Below are 21,031 nucleotides of genomic sequence, written 5' to 3'. Positions count from 1 at the left end.
TCCTAGTTATTAATACTTTGTTAGAAGGGCTGCAAATATTTTTTGCCTATTTGTTTCTTATCTTTTAAGTTTGTGGTATTTTTGGCCATAAGTTTGTCTTTTTTTCCCTTTTAAAGATTTACTCTAAAGTATAAGTATTCCTTTTATATTTGCTACTAATATTGTATTGTTTCTTTACATGGACATCTTTAATCTATTTGGAATTATTAGTTTTTATTTATGGAAAGAAGTAGAAAATAATAACTTTTTATTGTAACCAGTCTGCAGAATTATAGAGTTTTCTCTGTAGTACCCAGCAACCCAAAATTAGAAAAGAAGAAATGATGTGGCTGGGTTCTTGGAGGTATGAATACATGTTGAGAAGGTGTATAGGCCAGGAATGCAGGGGGCGTGAAGATACTGATGAGAATTAAATATAGTCTCACCTCTATTGAACAATTGGGAGAAGTCAAAGGATAAGTGATTCTAGTGAAGACCACAGATTCAGCGAGTGAGAAAGGGAGATGGATTAAAAGACCAGAGTGAGATTTTGGAATTTGAGATGTCAGAAATAAATTCCTAATGATGCCAAGATCTGGGATATATCTTGTGTAAGTTTTAGGTCAGCTGAAGTGCATCTCATTCCTGAGCTCACTCTCCCTGTACTGTGCCTTCCACTGAGGATACTGGTCAGTGATTACCAAGCTAAATGACCTGAACTACAGGTTAGCAAACGTATGTAGAATGCACAACTTGTCAGTATTATGCAGTCACATTTTACGGAAGTATTGCGTTACAAGAATCCTTTTGCAAATCTTTTATACAAAATTTTAACATATGTATAAAAACTCGGAGAATGCTGGGGATCTCAGGTCAGCCTTCCAAAGTTTATTTATTCCATAACATAATTGAATTATACTGTATTAATCATACCAAGTAACCTAACTGCCTTTTAACTATTAAGATAAATCTACCTTTAGGGCTTCTATTAGTGGTTGCAATTTCCGCTCCCAAGATAGCGGTGGGAGCTGTTGTAGAAAGGGTTCCAGAAAGGCAGCAGGGAGATTTCAACAGTTGCTGTTGTAAATTTTATGTAAGTGAAATATTCTTAAATGGAGGTGAGTTGCTTTTGGCTTTGGAATATGTTTTTCTGTAGGAAAAAAATTAAGCACACCAAAAAATGTTTAAATAAATCTGAGAAATTGGGTAGCTCAGGGTATATATAGTATGATGGGTCCATAGACTGGGCTAATCTTGTAGTATCTCATAGTCTGGGCTAAAATATGATAATGACTCTCCTTGAAAGACAGAAAACTTAATGCTTCAGAAGGTAGAAATTTTAAATTCTAATTCAGGACTATATGTAGAACTTGTTTTTGTTTGTTTGTTTTGTACTGTACATATTAGATTGCTGGTTTATATACCCAGTTTGTTGGGATCATCTCAGAGTTTTGCCTTTATTCTTAAAAAGTATAAGAGGTTTGCCTTTGCTTTTCAAAGTAAAGGATTTTCCAGAAAGATTAAGAAGAAGAAAGAAAAAGGAAAACCTCAGGAATTGCTTATAAATCTTTTTTTTTTTTTTTTTTTTTTTTTTTTTTTTTTTGAGACAGAGTCTCGCTCTGTCACCCAGGCTGGAGTGCAGTGGCATGATCTCGGCTCACTTAAAGCTCCACCTCCTCCTGGGTTCAAGCCATTCTCCTGCCTCAGCCTCCTGAGTAGCTGGGACTACAGGCGCATGACACCATCCCCGGCTAATTTTTGTATTTTTAGTAGAGACAGGGTTTCACCATGTTGGCCAGGATGATCTTGATCTCTTGACCTTGTGATCTGCCCGCCTTGACCTCCCAAAGTGCTGGGATTACAGGCGTGAGCCACTGCGCCCGGCAGGAATTGCTTATAATTCTTTGATGAAACTGTAAGATTTCACTTAGCCATATGAGCTTACATTACATTTATTGAATGTAGCTAGTGTGTTTTGTTTCTTCGCTTATATAATTAAAGAGTTAGGAAAGTTATTTAAAGTTTTCAGCAGAGCTACTCAAACGCAGCTAGTTACTTGACAAATATATTTTAAAAATTTAGCCTATTTACTTGATCTATACCCATCATGATTTAAGTAATGGAAAACTGTTTAAATGATTTTGGGTGAGCAAGTTTAAAGTGGTTTTCTCTTATTAACATAAGAGATTAGATTAAGAAATACTATCTGGGTTTGCAGTAATTATCTCATTGCTATTTAAATAAGCCCCTGCTGGCAGTCCTAACATTATTTTTTCTTATGAACCCAAATAGGGTTTGTATTAGAAAGCCAGTTCTTATACACAATAATCCTTATAAATAGTTTGAAAACGCTTACTAACATTAAAATTAAGCGAAAACATTCTTCTGTGGTTTGTTCTTATTTTGCATATCTTTTCTTTATTGCTTTCTAAACCTCTTATTCTACATCCAACTGAGAAATAAATTATTCCTTAATTTTTTGTGTCATTTTGCAAGTCTCTAAAACATAGCACTGTAGGGGCTTATAGTATTTCCTTTGCTTTGCTTGTTTAAATAACTAAAAATGCATATAAAAATTAAATGTTTCATGATCAAGGTAAAGGAAGAAAAGATAACATTTATTGAATGTAACTAGTGTGCTTGGCATGTTACAGAAATGATGTTATTTAAGTTTTATAAAAAGTTCATGAGGAAAGATTTTATAAATGAAAGAAACTCAAGATTCAAGGGTGTTTAGAGCCTTTCTCCTGAAGTTACCTGATTTATTATACGGGTGTGTTTATAAAGGTTTGATAAGTGCCTATTCTTTCTGCTCTTTCACTGCTGAAGAATATTTTAGACATGTTACCTCTTCGTCTGAATTATGTTTTAAATGTAAACATTTAAATGTAGACAAAGCCATGGTTACCAGAGAGCAGGCCTGAAGTGTGAGATGTCCAGGTCCTTGGCGTTTTCCACAAAGAACTGGACAAAATGCACACGCAATGAAGCACAAGTAACGAAGGAATGAAGCAGCAAAAACAGGGATTTATTAAAGCGAGAAAGCACTCCACAGGGTGGGAGTGGGCCCAAGCAAGTGGCTCAAGGGCCTGGTTACAAAGTTTTCTGGGTTTTAAGTGTTCCTTTTGAGGTCCCTATCAGCTACCCCTTATCTGGATGAAGGATTTGGTCCATGGCTAATTAAAGGCTGCGGTGAATTGGTGCCCTATGCAGATGAAGGGATGGCCTGAGCTTGGCCCACAGCCCATCCAGGGCACTTTCCCCTTCCATCTAGGACGTGGTGGAAAGGGGAGGGTTAGGGAGATAGCCTTTGATCCTTTGCTACTCTGGCCTGGGGAGATGGGGCATTTCCTTTTGGTTTAGCTTTTGGAAGTTCCAGACCCAGGTGTTTTCTTTTTGATCCACCTTTGGGAAGTCAGCAGGAGTTGGCCTTAGATCTCTTGCCCCCAGACCTTGGTGTTTAACCTTGATTCATCTTTACGAAGTCAACACATATTGGCCTTAGATGCCCTGTCTCCAGACCCTATTATCCTGTCCCACCATGGTTCAGAAAACTGATATGCTGAAGTGTTATTTGGTACATTAGGAGCAAAGGAGGAATCTGATTTTTTCCCCCATCATTGAGATTATCTGAGTAATTGAGAAGTACCAGTAAACCCACTGAGCTCCTGTTTAAAAAATTATTCATTCTGGCACTTGTTTTTGAGACAGGGTCTCACTCTGTAACCCAGGCTGGAGTACAGTGGCATGCTCATGGCTCACTGCAGCCTTTATGTCCCCAGACCCAAGCAATCCCCTCATCTCAGCCTCCCTAGTAGCTGGGAATACAGGCATGCAGCACCATGCCTGGCCAATTTTTGTATTTTTTGTAGAGATGGGGTTTTGTCATGTGTCCCAAACTGGTCTCAAACTCCTGAGCTTAAAGGATCTGCCTGCCTGGGCCTCCCAAAGTGTTGGAATTTCAGGTGTGAGCTACTGTGCCTGGTCTCTGGCATTTGTAAAAGAGCAACGTGTCAGACTTTATTCAAGACCATCATGATAGATGTAGGGATCATTCCAGTGGGGTTTGCAGTGAAAGGGAGAGACTCGGCTCAACTTGGAAAAGAACAAGGAAAAGTGGTCATGTTATAGCCAAGTAGCAGGGCTGGGGTTGGGGGGCAGTCAGTGGATAGAAAATTACTGAGAGGAAACATTACGGCTTCTGGCTAAACTGACCTAACAAGATTTTTGCCGAAGGCAGGCCAGGGTGATCAGACATCCATCACCTGGAGGATGGCGGGAGATTTGGCCACCCAATCAGATATTAGGATGGGAATTCTGGCTAAACTTACTTAGCAGGTTTCTAATTGGACAATGTAGAGACAAACACTGAAGGCTAAAAGCCAAGCCTAGTTGAGAGGAGAATTCAGAAGAGCCTAACTAGAGTTTGGTCAAGGAGAGAATCTTTGTCACTTCTGATTGGTATGTATCCTTTTGTATCTGATAAAATATTAAATAACCATATTGCAATAGCTGGGTTATATATAGTGAGATAGTATTTGTCATAATGTGATCATGTGTATTTTTAAAATTAAAATGAAAGTTGAGGCCAGGTGCGGTGGCTCATACCTGTAATCCCAGCACTTTGGGAGGCCGAGGCAGGCAGATTGCTTCAGCTGAGGAGTTTGAGACCAGTCTGGGCAACAGGACAAAACCATGTCTCTACAAAAAATACAAAAATTAGACAGGCATGGTGGTGCATGCTGTCATCCCAGCTACTAGGGAGGCTGAGGAGGGAGAATAACTTGAGCCCAGGAGTTCGAGGATGCAGTGAGCACAGTGATTGCACCACTGCACTCCAGACTGGGTATTAGAGCGAGAACCAGTTTCAAAAGAAAAAAAAAAGATTTATGTATTTCAGAAAACTCAAAAAAGATTATTTTCACATTCTGATTGTTACCTGATGCCAAATAAATAAACGTGCTAACTAGAGTCACAGTTTCCAAGTATTTTATAATTTAAAATTGATACCTAATATAAGTAAGCCTGGTGAAGGCCACTTAACTGGGAGTTGGAAGGCCTGGATTCTCATCCAAGTTCTATTTCACTATCGTACTTTGAATGAGTTGTTATCTTGGGGGCCTCTCTTAAAGGTAGGAAGCAATCCCATTTGCAGTAGCAATAGAAAGACTGCAATTCGTAGAAATAAACTTAATCAAAGAAGTGAAAGACTTGTACACTTTAATAAAGCATTGATGAAGGACATTAAAGAAGACATTGATAAATAAAAAGATTTCTTTTGTTCATGGATTGGTAGAGTTAATGTTGTTACAATGTTCGTACTACCGAAAATGATCTGTAGATTAAGCGTAATCCTTATCAAAAATTCCAGTAGCATTCTTGTTCTTTTTTTTTTTTTTTTTTTTTTTTGAGATGGAGTCTTGCTCTTTCACCCAGGCTGGAGTGCAGTGGCGCCATCTCAGCTCACTGCAACTCCGCTTCGCAGGCTCAGGTGATTCCCTGCCTCGGCCTCCTGAGTAGCTGGGACTACTGGTGTGTGCCACCATGCTCAGCTAATTTTTTGTATTTTTAGTAGAGACAGGATTTCACCATGTTAGCCAGGTTCATCTTGAATTGCTGACGTCAGGTGATCCGCCCACCTCGTCCTCCCAAAATGCTGGGATTACAGGCATCAGCCATTGCGCCTGGCCTCCAATAGCATTCTTTACAGAAATAGAAAAAAAAATCTTAAAATTCATATGGAACCACAAAAGAACCCAAATAGTCATAGCAGTCTTGAACAAGAAAAAAACTGAAAGTGTCATTTCCTGATATCAAAATATATTACAAAGCTACAGTAATCTTAATAGTATGGTACTGGCATGAAAACAGACATATAGACCAATGAAATGGAATAGAGACACCAGAAATAAATCCATGCATTTACAGTCAGCTGATCTTCAACAAGGGTTCTGAGAACATGGAATGGTGAAAGATAGTCTCTGTAATAAATGGTGTTGGGAAAACTGGATATCCTCATGCAGAAGAATAAAATTAGACCTTATTTTACACCATATACAACAACTAACTCAAAATGGAATAAAGACTTTAATATAATACCTGAAACCAAAAGCTACTAGGTAAAAACAGGGAGAGCCTCATGATATTGGTGTAGGTAATAATTTAAGTACATAAGGGACTCATGCAACTCATAGCGAAACTCAAATAACCTGATTAAAAAGTGAGAAAGCACCTGAGTAGATGTTTCTCCATAAAAGACATGCAAATATCTAATAGGTATATGAAAAGGTGCTCAGTATTAATAATCATCAGGGAAATGCTGATCAAAACCACAATAAGATATCCCCTCACACCTGTTAGAGTGGCGAGAATGTTGGCCAGAAGGTGGAAAGTGTTGGCCAGAATGTGGAAAATGGGGGACTCTTGTACACTGTTGGTGGGAATATCAATTGGTATAGCCACCTTAGAAAACAGTTTAGAGATTCTTCAAGAAATTAAAAATAGAATTATCTTTATGATACAGCAGTCTCATTTCTGGGTATATTTCCAAAGGAAATGAAATCAGTATCTTGAAGAGATGCCTGCACTCCCATGTTTGTTGCAGCACTATTCACAAAAGCCAAGATATGGAAATAATCTGAATGTCCCTTGACAGAAGAATGACAAAGAAAAGCAGATATGTATGTGTGCGTGTGCAGCACACAGAGTGGAATATTATTCGTCCTTATAAAAGGAAGTGCTGTCATTTGCAACAATACAGATGAACCTTGAGAACATTATACTAAATGTGAAATAAACCAGTCATGCAAAGACAAATACTGTATGATATCACTTACATGTGGATTATAAAATTGTCAAACTCACCGAAGTAGAGAGTAGAATGGTGGGTGCCAGGGGCTGGAGAGAGTGGGCGCCTGCCACCACGCCCGGCTAATTTTTTTTTGTACTTTTAGTAGAGACGGGGTTTCACCGTGTTAGCCAGGATAGTCTCGATCCCCTGACCTCGTGATCCACCCGCCTAGGCCTCCCAAAGTGCTGGGATTACAGGCGTCAGCCGCCGCGCCCAGCAGAAAAAAAAAATTTTTTTTGAAGTGTTGGAGTATCATGAATCCCCTAAGTCCTATCCACTATCTCTAGATTATCAACTCTAGCTACAGGGTAAGGAAAAGGAGCAGAACTATACATAATCTAAAATGTTAGCTAATTTATAAAATTTTTATAGTTCACTTCAAATTTAAGTTTTGTTCTGGGGATTTCCAGGACTGTAAATACCAGCACATAGTAGGTTATTGGAACATATTTGTTGAAATATTTATATTTGGAAAACATATTTTTCAAGAATAAGATACATTGGACATCTTTGAACTGGACTAACTTCTGTTATTTTGCAGATTAAATGCTCCCCCCAGCCCTTTGCCTATGTGTTAGCACTGTTTCCAGCAGTTGGGCACTTGAGAGTGTGCTCAGTGCTCTCTGCACAGTAGTTATTCAGTGCAAACAAGCCATTGGCAGAGTTCTAGGCAGAATTTGTCTGACTCCTCTTCACCTGTGATGAGTTACATCGTGTCCTCCTGTTAGCTACAGTGCCTCAGCATATGCCCGTAGTCAAGTATGGAATTCACTCAAAATTCTCAAGGGCAAGTGTGTTTGAAATTCTTGTTCTTAGTTTTAAAAATCAGTAGGCAGATATTTAGTAAATAAAACTCTAACCTTGCTGTAGTCCTTCATTTCTTAAGAAATGGCATACTGGCATATGTGGTTCTGTAGCAAAATTAAAAATTAATCTCAGGTGTTGCCTGCTTTTCTATGGATTAAAAAGTAAATGGCCCTTCATCCAAATTCTGCATACCCAGAATGTCCTCCCAGCCTTCCTGGTTCCTTTTGTAAGATATCCTGTTTTTGTGTCTACACTTAGCCAATTGCTGGCATCATTAGTAGTGGTTAAAAAGGGGTAATGATGCTTTCTGAAAGCTTACTGTTACTGATTCTGTGTATACTTTAACTCAATGGTTAGTTTGTGTATTTTTTTAACTGCAGCTCCAGCAAGGGATACATTTTGCATTATGATTCAGTACACAGTAATACACCTTTATCTGAAATAAGCTTCATGAAACAAGTTATTCTTTTCTTATCTTCTATTTTTTTCTATTCTATTTCACTTCTTTGAAAAATGCTCATCATTATCCACTAAATGATTTAACATGACTTACCAAACTATAGTTTTAGAAAGTAGTTTTCAGTCACATGATCATTTTCACTGTCCTTTTATGATTTATAGGATAAAGTAGGATAGTATTATATTCAATTTGCATATTTTAATCTATAAGATACACTATTCTTCATGTACTCAAAGTATACTTGAATTTTCTAGCAAAAAAATTAAGTAATTATAAATTAAATAACTAAAAATAGAAAATTTTGTGAGGTTTTGGGGTTTTTGACTGTCTTAGATGTTTTGAGATTTGGGTAAAGTTTGTTTTTTCATTATTTTTACATTAACCATTAAGAAATCCATTAATAGTTTTGTGATCTCTTTCTCTTTATGTTTTTATTTTATTTATTTATTTAAAGACAGAGTCTCTGTCACCCAAGCTGAAATGCAGTGGCGTGATCTTGGCTCACTGCAGCCTTAACCTCTCAGGCTCAAGTTATCTTCCCACCTCAGCCTCCTGAGTACTTGGGACTATACGCGCACACTACCATACCTGACTAATTTTTGTATTTTTAGTAGAGACAGGGTTTTGTCATATTGCCCAGGCTGGTCTCGAGCTCCTGAGCTCGAGCCATTCACCGGCCTCGGCCTCCAAAAGTGCTGGGATTGCAGGTGTGCACCACTATTCCCGGCGCCTTTATTTTTGAACTTGATATGACTAAACTAATTGGAAACATTTATTACTTGTCTGATTAATGTTTTACATTTTATACAAATTGTGGCAAAGTGAGTAAGAACTTCCAATGCTGAGATTCATAATTTGCCCTTCAGGGGGATTTATCAAATTTTGCTTCTCTGTCTTTTCTGTTTAAAGAAGTAGAAAGATATATTTTAGACAGAATTTTCTATTTTGCAAATTTCTTATAAGCTCTTACATGCATGCTTGACCTAGTCAAGATGATGATGTTTTGACTGTTCATGTATTGACATTTTCCTACAGAATTAGAAGTGCGTCTCACCAACCAGCCAAGATGAACATGGTGAAGAGGATCATGGGGCGGCCGAGGCAGGAGGAGTGCAGCCCACAAGACAACGCCTTAGGACTGATGCACCTCCGCCGGCTCTTCACGGAGTTGTGCCATCCTCCCCGGCACATGACTCAGAAGGAACAAGAAGAGAAACTGTATATGATGCTGCCAGTGTTTAACAGGGTAAGTCCAGGTTGCCAGACACACACCTTCCGGGACTGGGGGGCACTACAAGAATCTGAAGGTTACTGGTAAGCCATAGGTAGAAAAAAATGATAGGCTGAGTTAGTTTTAAGAAGTTTGGTGTTCTCGTTTCATGTTTTCAATTTGCTATAAAGCAGTGTGACTTGATGTGAAACCTGGTCAGAATAAACTACATTTAGTGAGACTTTTTGATTTTTAACAGATAAAGTGCAAGCTGTGAGCCATTGTCTAAAATGGCCCTGTTATGGTTGAGATTTGGAAGAGGAATAGATTGTAAATTATCAATTGTGTTATTTCTGTTATCTGTTAAAGTGATGATTTTATTACACCAAATGGTGCAACTGCCCAAGCCCTTTGTATACTTTAAAAAGTCATTACAATTTGCTGTTGTTTAAGAGATGCTGTAAGAGGATAGTTATAGGCTATAGATAATTCAAATAGAGTTAATGTTTTCATATGTTTTGTAAATTACATGTAGCAATCTTGTTGGGTATTTTTAAAATAACAATTTTTTTAGGCCAGGCGTGGTGGCTCACGCCTGTAATCCCAGCACTTTAGGAAGCCAAGGCAGGTGGATCACCTGAGGTCAGGAGTTTGAGACAAGCCTGGCCAACATGGTGAGACCCCATCTCTACTAAAAATAAAAAATCAGCCAGGCGTGGTGGCACGTGCCTGTAATCCCAGCTATTCGGGAGGCTGAGGCAGGAGAATCGCTTGAACCCGAGAGGCGAAGGTTGCAGTGAACTGAGATCACGCCATTGCACTCCAGCCTGGGCGACAAGAGTGAAACTCTGTCTCAAAAATAATAATAATAATAACTTTTTTATGTTTATCAGAAGTTCACAAATACATCATTTTAAAAAGTCAGATAGTTTCACAGGCTTATAGGTTCCCTCCTGCTCTTCACCACTAATTGCTGCCGCCATGAAAGACTTTTAAATAACATACTTTTACTGCTGTTGTGTAGTTTTAATTGACTTCCTACTGAGGAATATAAGAATTAGCTTCTTTACTTCCTCTCCCTCCAAACCATAATGTACATACATACATACATACATACACTCATTCATACATGCTGCCCTCCTCATCCTTTCCCTATAGTTAGGCTACTTGTGTAAGCAGTATTCAGTGTTTGCTCTCTACTGACAGTGATATAAATTTAAATTTATTCAAAGATGAACCTTATACTATACTACCTTTATTTTTCCATTATTATAGAACTTGTTCTCCTCAGACTTCCTGTCTCAATTTCTTTCTCTGCATGTCTTTGTTTCTTGGTTTCCCTTCTCTCGCTCTTTTTCCTCCTCCTTTCTCTGTCCCTCCCACATCTTCTCTGCCTTGCCCTGTCTGTCTTTTTTATCCTGTGTCTGCCTGCCTTCCCCTGTTTCCATTTCTTTCTTCCTATCTGTCTGTCTCTCTCTATGCCTTTCATCTCTCTTTCTCTTCTCCATCACTGTCTTTCTGTCCTCCCATTTCTCTCTTTGTCTCCTCTCTGTCCCTATTTCTTTCCCTGTCTCTGACTCTCCCCTGTCTCTTTTTCTTCTCCCCTTTTTCCAGATCTATCTCCATGCCCCTGACGATGCCTTTCTCCACACCCACCCCCTCACCCCGTGCCCCAATCTCTGACTGGCTCTGTCCCCTGTAGTCTCACTTGTTGTCTATATTATTTTCTCTGTTCATCTATCTTTTTGTGTGAAATTTTCTAGGCTCTTCCTCTTCTCATTATTTTGAAATTTTATTGTGGCTTCAGCTTAAGCCTTCTTAATCTGAAAACTTGTATTGTTCAGTCTCGGTAAATATTCTGAAATATTTCTTTGAGAATATTCTCCTCTATATCTTATATGTTCCCCCTTTTCTGGACCTCTGTCAATCAAGCAGTAGTTCTTTTAGAGTAATGTTGTGCTATTAATATCACAGTTTTAATTTCCTTGAATTCTTTGTTGTTTTACTATTATTTATTTATTTTTTTAGTATGTCTCATGTTCAGTAGATAGACTATCACTGAATCTCCAGTGTTCACATATCAGTGTTCTTGTCTTTGATTTGTGGTGGTATCTCTCTTCTTCCTCGTAAGGAACTAGACTTCTAGTTGTCTACTGCACTGGGGAGGAACAGTCACCTTCAATTTCTGGGCTGTAAAATAATAATAATGTCAACCTTATTGGGTTGTCGTGAGGGTTAAATTCAGATAATATACTTACAGCACTTAATAAGTGTTTGTCCCAAGAAATGTGTACCTATTATTGTTATTATTGTATCTATTATTGTTTTTGTTACGTGAATTTATTATTTTTGTTGTTGGAAATACTAGTGAAAGGGAATGAATGAGAAAGAAAGAGTTGAAAGGGGGCAATAAAAGAATTGATTAGTATTGATGGCTCAGTGAAGGTTGGAGATGATAAATTTATACTAAACCTTATCAGTACTGGCCTGTGTGAAAAAGTAGAGAAAGCAATACCTGATTTATTGAGATTGAGGTTTGTATAGGCTGGTAAGGCAGAAGGGCAAGAGTGCCAGGAAGGTTAGTTCACATATCACCCATGAGCTTGTGTTGGATACAACAGAAGAGGATAGAAACATTAACGCATTTATAGAATGTACATTTCCTTACTTATGAAATAATAGGATAGATTATCTGCTGAGAATGATAGAGGGAGGAGATGGTAGAGTAGGAACGTGAGAAGAGGTGGGGAAAGGTTTAAAATAGCTCTTTTAAAAATGGGAGAGAGAACTATGACAAGCCATTGTTTTAAGCCCTATTCAGGGAAGTTACTAATTTTTATTACCAGGAAGTTAATAATTTTTGTTATCTGGAAGTTTGTTTTGTTTTTAAATCTTATTTTTGTTTTACTTTAACGTCATGATGTGCTGTTGGCTACTGAGGAGTTTGAGGTAATTTCCTTCTGTCAGACTTAGGAATGTTTACAAGGTAATGAGAATGTTTAGAGCAGTTAGGGGAATTGTTCTTGGCTATTAACATGAATTATTAAGTAATAGCCTACATATATATGTATCCCATGTATTTTATCAGTTAGGCTTCCACAGTCTACTAGACTAGAAGAATCTCATGACTATTTGTTTTTTTAATAAGTAGATATGAGATGCTTTAGTAATTATTCTCTATCTACTTAAAATGTTTGACTTAGTTATCTTATGTCCTATGTTATTGTAAGTCTCATTAACTATTAACAAATTCTCTCAAAAGTTTTTAATTGGTTGATTAGAAACATATGTGTATGCAATGCCTTAAAACTCTAATATAATGAGTGATTTGATATCACAAAGGTTCAGTAAACTCTTAACTAATGAAAAGATAGAAAGTTATATCTGTACCATTGTGACTAATTTGAAAAATGTATTATTTTAAAAATAATTCTTATTAATTGGATATAATTAATAAACTAAAATTGTTCTTAGATACCATTTCCATTAAATTTAGAAATATATAGCCATATCTATTTAACATTTGGCCGTTTGTGCTTGAACATTGTCCACTAGTGACAAATACCTATGGTGAGTGAATAGCTCAGTATGTTGCTAGAGCCAACCAGTTCTTACCATGATTGCTAAAAAGGAATTGCAGTGTTGATTTTTGAGACTTTGCTTGATTAGAGCTAAATGGTGAACAAGCTGTTAGACATGGACATCTAGCTACAGACTAGTTTTTAAAGTGTGCTTAATAGTGTTATTTCAGTGCATGATTTTTGCCTTTGAGAGACATGGGTTGGGAAATGACATGTATTAAGTCTTTTTTCTGGGCCAGGTCTCATGCTGGGTTCTTGAAATGCCTCCTGTTGTCTTCATTACAGTCCTACAAGGAGGCTGCTGTTATCTTCCCTCTTACTGATTTGCTCAAACTGAAAGATTATGGTGAAGTCTGAAAATAGCTGAATAATATTTATTCAGCATTCTTAAAAATAATTAACATTTAGTCCCAAGAACAAAAGCTGACAAAGAAAACATTTGGTTTAAACTTACTCAAAATGAGTAGCATTTTAGTTGTCTAAAAATTCATAACTGCCACTGTTAATTACTGTAGTATTTGTTATATTTTGCTGTGTATTTTAAAATGTAATGTTTACCAATTAGATCTTTTGTAAGAAACTCCCCTTATTTTTTAACTTATTTCCAATTTATATTTGAGAAGCATGTAAATGTAATACAGTGTCCTTTTTTAATCCCTTACAAATTATCATTACTTTTTAATTTGTTGACTTAAGAGAGAGGTCACCCAAACTTAGAACCAAATAAGAGAGAGATCAGAAGGCAGACAGGTGAATTATTTTGTGGCAGCTTTATTACTTATTACATAATACCAATACAGTTGATACTGGAGAATGTGGCTTGGGTCTGTGCAACAAAGGACTTGCTGAATTCAGCCCTGAAATAGTCATGTTTACTTACCCAGTCACTGGCAGAACTGGACAGTGGCAAGCCACAGCCAGAGCAGATGAGAATGCATATTCTCATGAGGCAGGCAAAGCCCGGAAGGAGAGGACGGGACTGAGTTAGGCATTCTGTTCTTCTCAGACTCTCATCTGATGGTCCTTCATAGAAACAAAAAGAGCATAAGATAAATATTTCCCTAATCATTTATATTAATTGATAAGAAATCTTAACTGATTTACCATACGAAATAATGCAATTACATCTTCATTGTTAATTTTTTAACATTGTTATTTATAGCAAATTATTTTAGGACTAATGATGGTCCATAGTCTGACTTAATTTTAGATATAACACATATTTAGGAAACAAAAGCCTCCATTTTTAAAAACTTTGTAAACATTCCAACCTCTCTTTTATTAGTCATATTTAATATATTTTTATTGAATAGCACTATTCAGTAACAAGTTTATATTGAGCCTTTATGAATGCCATTAGATAACACCATTAATTTGCTTTCCCTGAGTGCCAAAAATATTTGGTTGAAGAGGTGCCAGGAAATCTTCTGAAATCTATTTAGGTGGATATTAAAAATGATTATTTTAAAAATAAGTCAAACCATGCTATTTTTCTCTAAAGATGAACACTATGCACAGTTTAGTGATAGGGTTCATGCACAGTTTGAGAAAAATATAGTACTGAGTGATGAAGAGCCTGGCTTGGAATCAGATAGATGTAGTTTTAAATTCTGTCTGTATTGCCTCCTGTTTTAAGTTAAGTTGTCTAACTCTTAATTTTCTTAACTGTAAAATGAGGCTACTAGTAGAACCTATTCTGTAGGATTTTATGAGACTTAAATGACACCAAGTTCTTGAATAGTGCTACGCAGATTTTAAATGGGTATTATATGGTAATTGTTATTTCCAGTGAATTTGCAAGAAGTCATTTTTGTTCTTCATTACCTTTTTTTTAATCTGTTATGAATTTCACATATGTATTCTAGAATCAGCCCTTTTGAGTTGAATGTGTTGCCAGTTCTCTTGCCCAACTTTCTTCCTCTGCAGAACCAGAAATTTTTTGTCGTTGTTTGTTTGAGACCAAGTCTGGCTCTGTTGTTGCTCAGGCTGGAGTGCCATGGTACCATCTTGGCTCACTGCAACCTCCACCTCCCAGGTTCAAGCTATTCTTATGCCTCAGCCTCCCAAGTGGCTGGGACTATAGGCATGTGCCACCACACTCAGCTAATTGTTATATTTTTAGTAGACATGGGGTTTCACCATGTTGGCCAGGCTGGTCTCAACGCCTGACCTCAGGTGATCTACCCACCTCAACCTCCCAAAGTGCTGGGATTAAAGGCATGAGCCACCATACCTGGCCTAGAACTGGAAAAATTTGACAAGTAGTCAGTACTCCCTGAGAGTGAGAAGTAGAATCTACACCTTCTGACACCCAGCTTCATGCTGCATCCTCTTTGGCAAACATTTATGTAAATGATGGAAGCATTGTATAGTTTCAAGAAATACCACTACTTGTTGAAAGTAGTGAACACATACATAATATTTTTAGATTCAGTTGTTGAAGTCAATCACCAAAACTACACTATTTTCTTTGCTACCTTATCCATTCAGTATTACCTACAATGTCAGATTCATGCTTTAGTTCCTCTATCCCTCCAACCTTATCTTGTACCATTTTTCCTCTTATACAAAATGCCCCAGCTTTATCAGCCTCATTTTCATTCCTGTACACCCCAGAATCAATCTCACTTTGAGGTCTTTGCACAGCTCTGATCTCACTGCCTGCAACCCTCTTTCCTTGTCTCTTTGGATTGTAACTTTTCCTCATTAGTCAGTGTCATCCTTTGGCACCAGTGTCGCTTCTTCAGAAAGACCTTTCCTGACAACCTTCTTCCCACCCCAGGCATTCTCTTTCAGCTACCCTATTTTACTTTCTTCATAATACTATCTTTAAATAATTTTAATTTTAAAATCAACTTATTTACCACTGGTCTTCTGTGCTAAAATGTCCTGTGTTTCATGAGCACAGGAATCATATTTGTTTTATTTACCTTTGTATTCAGGACCCTTCGAACATTGCCTGGCACATATACTAGGAAGTCGATAAATATTTGTGAGTGAATAAACCTTATTTAAGAAGCAATGCTTGTTCATTTCAGATTAGCAAATATGACATAGTCTTTTTCTGTAGTACTGATTTTGGGTTGGTAAATTCAAGCCAGTTTTATTTATCTTGTCAGAACATTTCTTAGAGGAAATAAAGCAGTAAACATCAGGATTTGTGTAAAAAGTTACTGGCATTTTCAACAGCATATTATTTACCCAGCATGAAGACTGGTTGAATAATTATATCCTTAACAACTGTTCAAGAAATGAGCTATTGGTTCTGTTTAGTTGTCCTAATAACTATTAGCAATAAAATACCTCATACTAATTCTTAGGAGCAAAATATACATTGATACACCCTGAGTAATAGGAATATTATAAACACCTCCATTAAAAAACCATGTACTCAGCCAGGAGAGTTGGCTCACGCCTGTAATCCCAGCACTTTGGGAGGCCGAGATGAGCAGATCACCTGAGGCCAGGAGTTCGAGACCAGCCTGGCCAACATGGTGAAACCCCATCTCTACTAAAAATACAAAAAAAATTAGCCGGGTGTGGTGGTGGGTGCCTGTAATCCCAGCTACTCAGGAAGCTGAGGCAGGAGAATCACTTGAAACCAGGAGGCAGAGGTTGCAGTGAGCCGAGATTGTGCCATTGCACCACTCCAGCCTGGGCAACAAGAGCAAAAACTCTGTCTCAACAGCAATAACAAAAGGCTATGTACTCATCTCTGAGCACAGGTGGAATGGCTATTCAAAGATGTGTCATTATTAGGTTTCTCAATTTTTATCAGTCTTCAGTTTGTTAAAGAATAGAGGTTTCTGGCCGGGCACAGTGGCTCATGCCTGTATTCCCAGCACTCTGGGAGGCCATCATGGGCAGATCAGTTGAGCCCAGGAGTTCAAGACCAGCCTGTACAACATGGCGAAATTCCTATCTCTACAAAAAATACAAAAATCAGCTGAGTGTGGTGGCAGGCACCTGTAGTCATAGCTACTCAGGAGGCTGAGGTGGGAGAATCACCTGAGCTCAGGAGGTTGAGATAGCAGTGAACCATGATTGCGCCACTGCACTCCAGCCTGAATGACAGAGTAAGACCCTATCTCAAAAAAAAAAAGGGGAGGTTTATTTAACAGGTAACATAGATTATTTAACAAGTAGTATAGGTTAATTCTAAGCACACAACATTTATCAAAATCTCAGGAAAAAAATGTGTTGAGGAAGTATTGAAAAGTACAGTTTATTTTTTGAGATTTTGAGATTATTACAAATTATTCATTTGTCAAACTATTGAACAGACTAGGTGTCTGGAAAAAACGATACCCTTGTAGAATTTATTTATTGTTTTAGCATTTTCAACTTAATTTGAGGGAGGTTATAAGAAACATGTAAGAAACACATTTTCTATTAGAAGGATATTACATTGTTTGTTATATTCTTTTATTGGGATCTTTGGAAGGAATTGTTTATATTATGCAGTAATCCCTCCTTATTCATGGTTTTGCTTTTCATGGTTTTGGTCATCTGTGGTCTGAAAATATTAAGTGGAAAATTACAGAAACAAACAATTCATAAGTTTGAAATCTGACACCATTCAGCTCCATCCCTCCCGGGATGTGAATTATTCCTTTGTCCAGTGTATCCATGATTTATGGGCCACCTGCCCAATAGTCACTTAGTAGCAGCCTCAGTTATGAGACCTATTGTCCTGGTATCAAGCTGCTTGTTTTCAAGAAACTCTATTTTCCTTAATAATGGCCCCAAAGTGCAAAAGTTATGGGGTTGGCCACTTGTGTATGCCAGAGAGAAGTCCTTCCTTTAAGTGAAAAGGTAAAAGTTCTTGACTTAATAAGGAAAGACCAAAAACTGTGTGCTGAGGTTTTTGAGATCTATAATAAGAAGGAATCTTGTATTTGTGAAATTGTGAATAGTATATTATTACAATTTTTTTACTTTATTATTATTGTTGCCAGTCTCTTACTGTGCCTAATTTATTACTTAAACTTTATCACAGGTATGTATTATAGTAAAAAATACAGTGTTTACGGGCTTTGGTACTATCCGTGGTTTCAGGCATCCAGTGGGGTCTTAGAACTTACCTCTCACAGATAAGGGGGGACTAGTATAATATGAGGAATAGAACTACTTCCTTAAATATATATATTTTTTCATGCTAAAGGCATTGTGAATGATGTGATTGATCAGGTTTTCTCTTCTGTATCTTTGAGCCAAAATTTGTAACCAATACATGGAAAATATAGAGGTCTTTCCAGTCTTAGATTTTTATTTAGTTTTCTTTTCCAGTCCATCTCCCTAGCTGGGTCTTTTATTTGCTTGTTTGTTTTGTTTTCCTTCTTGATTTTAGTTTATGTTCTCATGTTCTCCTTCAGTGCTCCCTGAATGTTCTCTAGAATTTGATTGTGAGGGCAGTCAGCATATAAATAAACAACCATATTTAGGGAGCATTACTATAAAAGGCAGAGTGTTGGCTTGGGAGAATATGAAGTTGAGTAAATTATGTTTTCTCCTTTTGTAGTGACATTTCAATAGGTAATAATAATATAAATTACTGTGTAATGACTGTTAAAAGGGAGAGATACTATAATAGCCTTAGAATATAGAGAATTTCCTTTCAGCTATAAAGAATATTCTTTAAAATAATACCTCAGGATATATCTAGTTATATACCCATTAAAATACCATTTCTTTTCTTATGATGGTCTGTCCAGGTTTCATTTTCTCAAATTCTCTTTGCTGAACTCATACCCATTTATTTTTAAAAATTATTTATTTTAGGCAGGATATAGTGGCTCACACCTGTAATCCCAGCACTTAGGGAGGCAGAGGCAGGAGGATAGCTTGAACCCAGGAGTTCAAGACCTGCCTGGGCAATATAGCAAGAACCAGTTCTCAAAAAAAAAAAAAAAAAAAAAAAAAAAAAAAAAAAAAAAAACAGATAAATAAAATTAAAAATAAGAATTATTTATTCTAAAGCTCATTTATTTTAAAATTTGTGTAAAAACAAGTTTGTTTCATGACCCTCCCATTTCTGTTTTCTAGTTTTTTTGGTAACAGCCTTGTTTTGTAAATTATTGTGATTAGACTGAGGAAATTCTGAGACATGAAATGAGTTTAGTGAATTCTGACGTCAGCCTGGGATTTAGCAGTAGAGCTGCTTTTCACCATCCAGTGTGCCTGTACTCCATCAAAGATCCTTTATAACTTTTCTCTAAATTCTCAAATTAGCTTTCCTCAGAAAAATGTTGGCTGGATGTGGTGGCTCACGCCTGTAATCCCAGCACTTTGGGAGGCTGAGGCAGGCGGATCACCAGAGGTCAGGAGTTCAAGACTAGCCAGGCCAACATGGTGAAACCCCATCTCTACTAAAAATACAAAAATTAGCCAGGCATGATGGCATGCACCTGTAGTCCCAGCTACTTGGCAGGCTGAGGCAGGAGAATAGCTTGAACCTAAGGCAGAGGTTGCAGTGAGCCAAAATCGTGCCACTACACTCCAGCCTAGGCGACAGAGTGAGAATCTGTCCCCCCCAAAAAAAAAGAAACGTTATAATTTCTAATGTTTTTCGTGAGATTGATTCAAATTTTATCAATAATGTCTATGGGTCTTAGATTTCATTTATTTAATCATTTCTTCAACAAATTTATATGTAAAAGGAAATGTGGCTAGACATGTGATTTATTGAAAGCGTTGTATTTTCAACATATTAAGATTCAAAGTAACTGTGTAGGTAGACTTTTCTGGACTTGATTTTCAAGTCATACCACACTTGAAAATTCACAAAATAAAAAGAAAAATTTGTCAGTGCTTCATTAACAATGTCTTTTCTTATCTACAGGTTTTTGGAAATGCTCCGCCGAATACAATGACAGAAAAATTTTCTGATCTTCTGCAGTTCACAACACAAGTCTCACGACTAATGGTGACAGAAATTCGAAGGAGAGCATCAAACAAATCCACAGGTATTTTTACAGTAGCCAGCAAAAACTGATTTGTTTGAATGAACAAGCAGTTCTGTAAAAGTCCCATTAAAATTAAATGGAAAACAGACCTTGTTCTCAGCACATTGAGTTCATTTACCCATTCCCTTTCCCTTTCTTAGAGTCACATTCTTTTCCTGGTTTCAGCATCTTCAACTCTCCAGTAGTTCTGCTCAAGGCTACTCTGCCTGGACCACTACCACTTCCACCCTAACCCTTTAAAATACTCTGTTTCCCTTTGAGCAAAATACAAATTCCTCAGCATGAAATTTAAGGCAAAGCTATCATCTGGTCTTTTTTTTTTTTTTTTTTTTAGCATACCCTGCTCTATTGCTTGTTTTCTTTTCTGTATTTCAACCAAATCCAGCTGTCTGTAGTCTTCAAACATGTGTATACTCTTATTTTAATCATTTACTTAGAATGCTTCACTGAGGAAGGAGAATCTTTCCTCATTTCAATATGTCTAAATGTCAGCATGATTAAGTCATGCTTCCTTGATGAAATGCTTTTTGATTTCTTTAGGCAAAGAAAATTTTTTTCTGTTCTGAACTACTGTTTTTCTTCTCAACCTCCTGGGTGGTCATTGTGCATGTGTCTTGATCTTCCCAGTAGACCATAAGCTACTTAGGGGTCTCTGTGTCATCTGTAGTAGTTGCTCTCTAGGCCAGTGCACAGCTGCCATTTTAACATCACTATTCACATTGTCCTGGGATGCCTTTTCATTTTTTGGGGGTGGATTCTGTTTCCTGAATCCCTTAATTCCTAATTTTGGTAAAGCATATTTTCCAGCAGCTTTATAAAAAAGGATACAGGGGAGTTATTAGGGTTTTGTTCTGCTTGTTGTTTTAGACATACCCTGAGTTAAACATTTTTTGACTATTGCTGTGAAAAATGGGTTCTTTTCTTTTCAGTAAGTAAAGTGATACCTTTAGCCTGACAACCTTTCAGCTGCCAGGACTTAGAACAAATTCCACTACATCATACAGCATGATTATTATAGAAAAGGAAATGTATTTAATACAAAACCAAGGGTCAATAAGAGACAAGAAGACACATATCTACGACTCTCATGATCTCACAGATACATGTGCTGGGGAGATGTGCTGAATACACAGCTGTGGTTTACGTTTAAATGGAGAGATACTTCTGTCTCCTCCTCTC

General features: G+C 37.2%; 1 protein-coding gene across 29 annotated transcripts in view, besides 1 other annotated feature; it reads left to right on the top strand.

The window, feature by feature from the left end:
- Positions 1 to 21,031, top strand: part of WDFY3 (WD repeat and FYVE domain containing 3) — a 297,094-nt gene that overhangs the window by 96,937 nt on the left and 179,126 nt on the right. For all 29 annotated transcript variants that reach the window (XM_011531759.3, XM_047449858.1, XM_011531763.4 and 26 more), the window contains 2 exons: positions 9,132 to 9,342; positions 19,729 to 19,852. In XM_011531759.3, the coding sequence (XP_011530061.1) occupies positions 9,163 to 9,342; positions 19,729 to 19,852 (304 nt within the window). In that variant the 5' untranslated portion in view covers positions 9,132 to 9,162. The remainder of the gene's footprint in view (positions 1 to 9,131; positions 9,343 to 19,728; positions 19,853 to 21,031) is intronic.
- Positions 12,757 to 13,387: an enhancer, noted in NCBI's record as "OCT4-NANOG hESC enhancer chr4:85777520-85778150 (GRCh37/hg19 assembly coordinates)". NCBI's record gives its function as "activates a minimal SCP1, AML or CMV promoter by ChIP-STARR-seq in naive H9 embryonic stem cells {active_cell/tissue: H9 hESC(naive)}" and the evidence as "EXISTENCE:reporter gene assay evidence [ECO:0000049][PMID:30033119]".

The sequence above is a fragment of the Homo sapiens genome, chromosome 4 (assembly GCF_000001405.40).
Source record: "Homo sapiens chromosome 4, GRCh38.p14 Primary Assembly".
Classification (NCBI taxonomy): Eukaryota; Metazoa; Chordata; class Mammalia; order Primates; family Hominidae; genus Homo; species Homo sapiens.
This window is presented reverse-complemented; position numbering and strand designations above follow the sequence as displayed.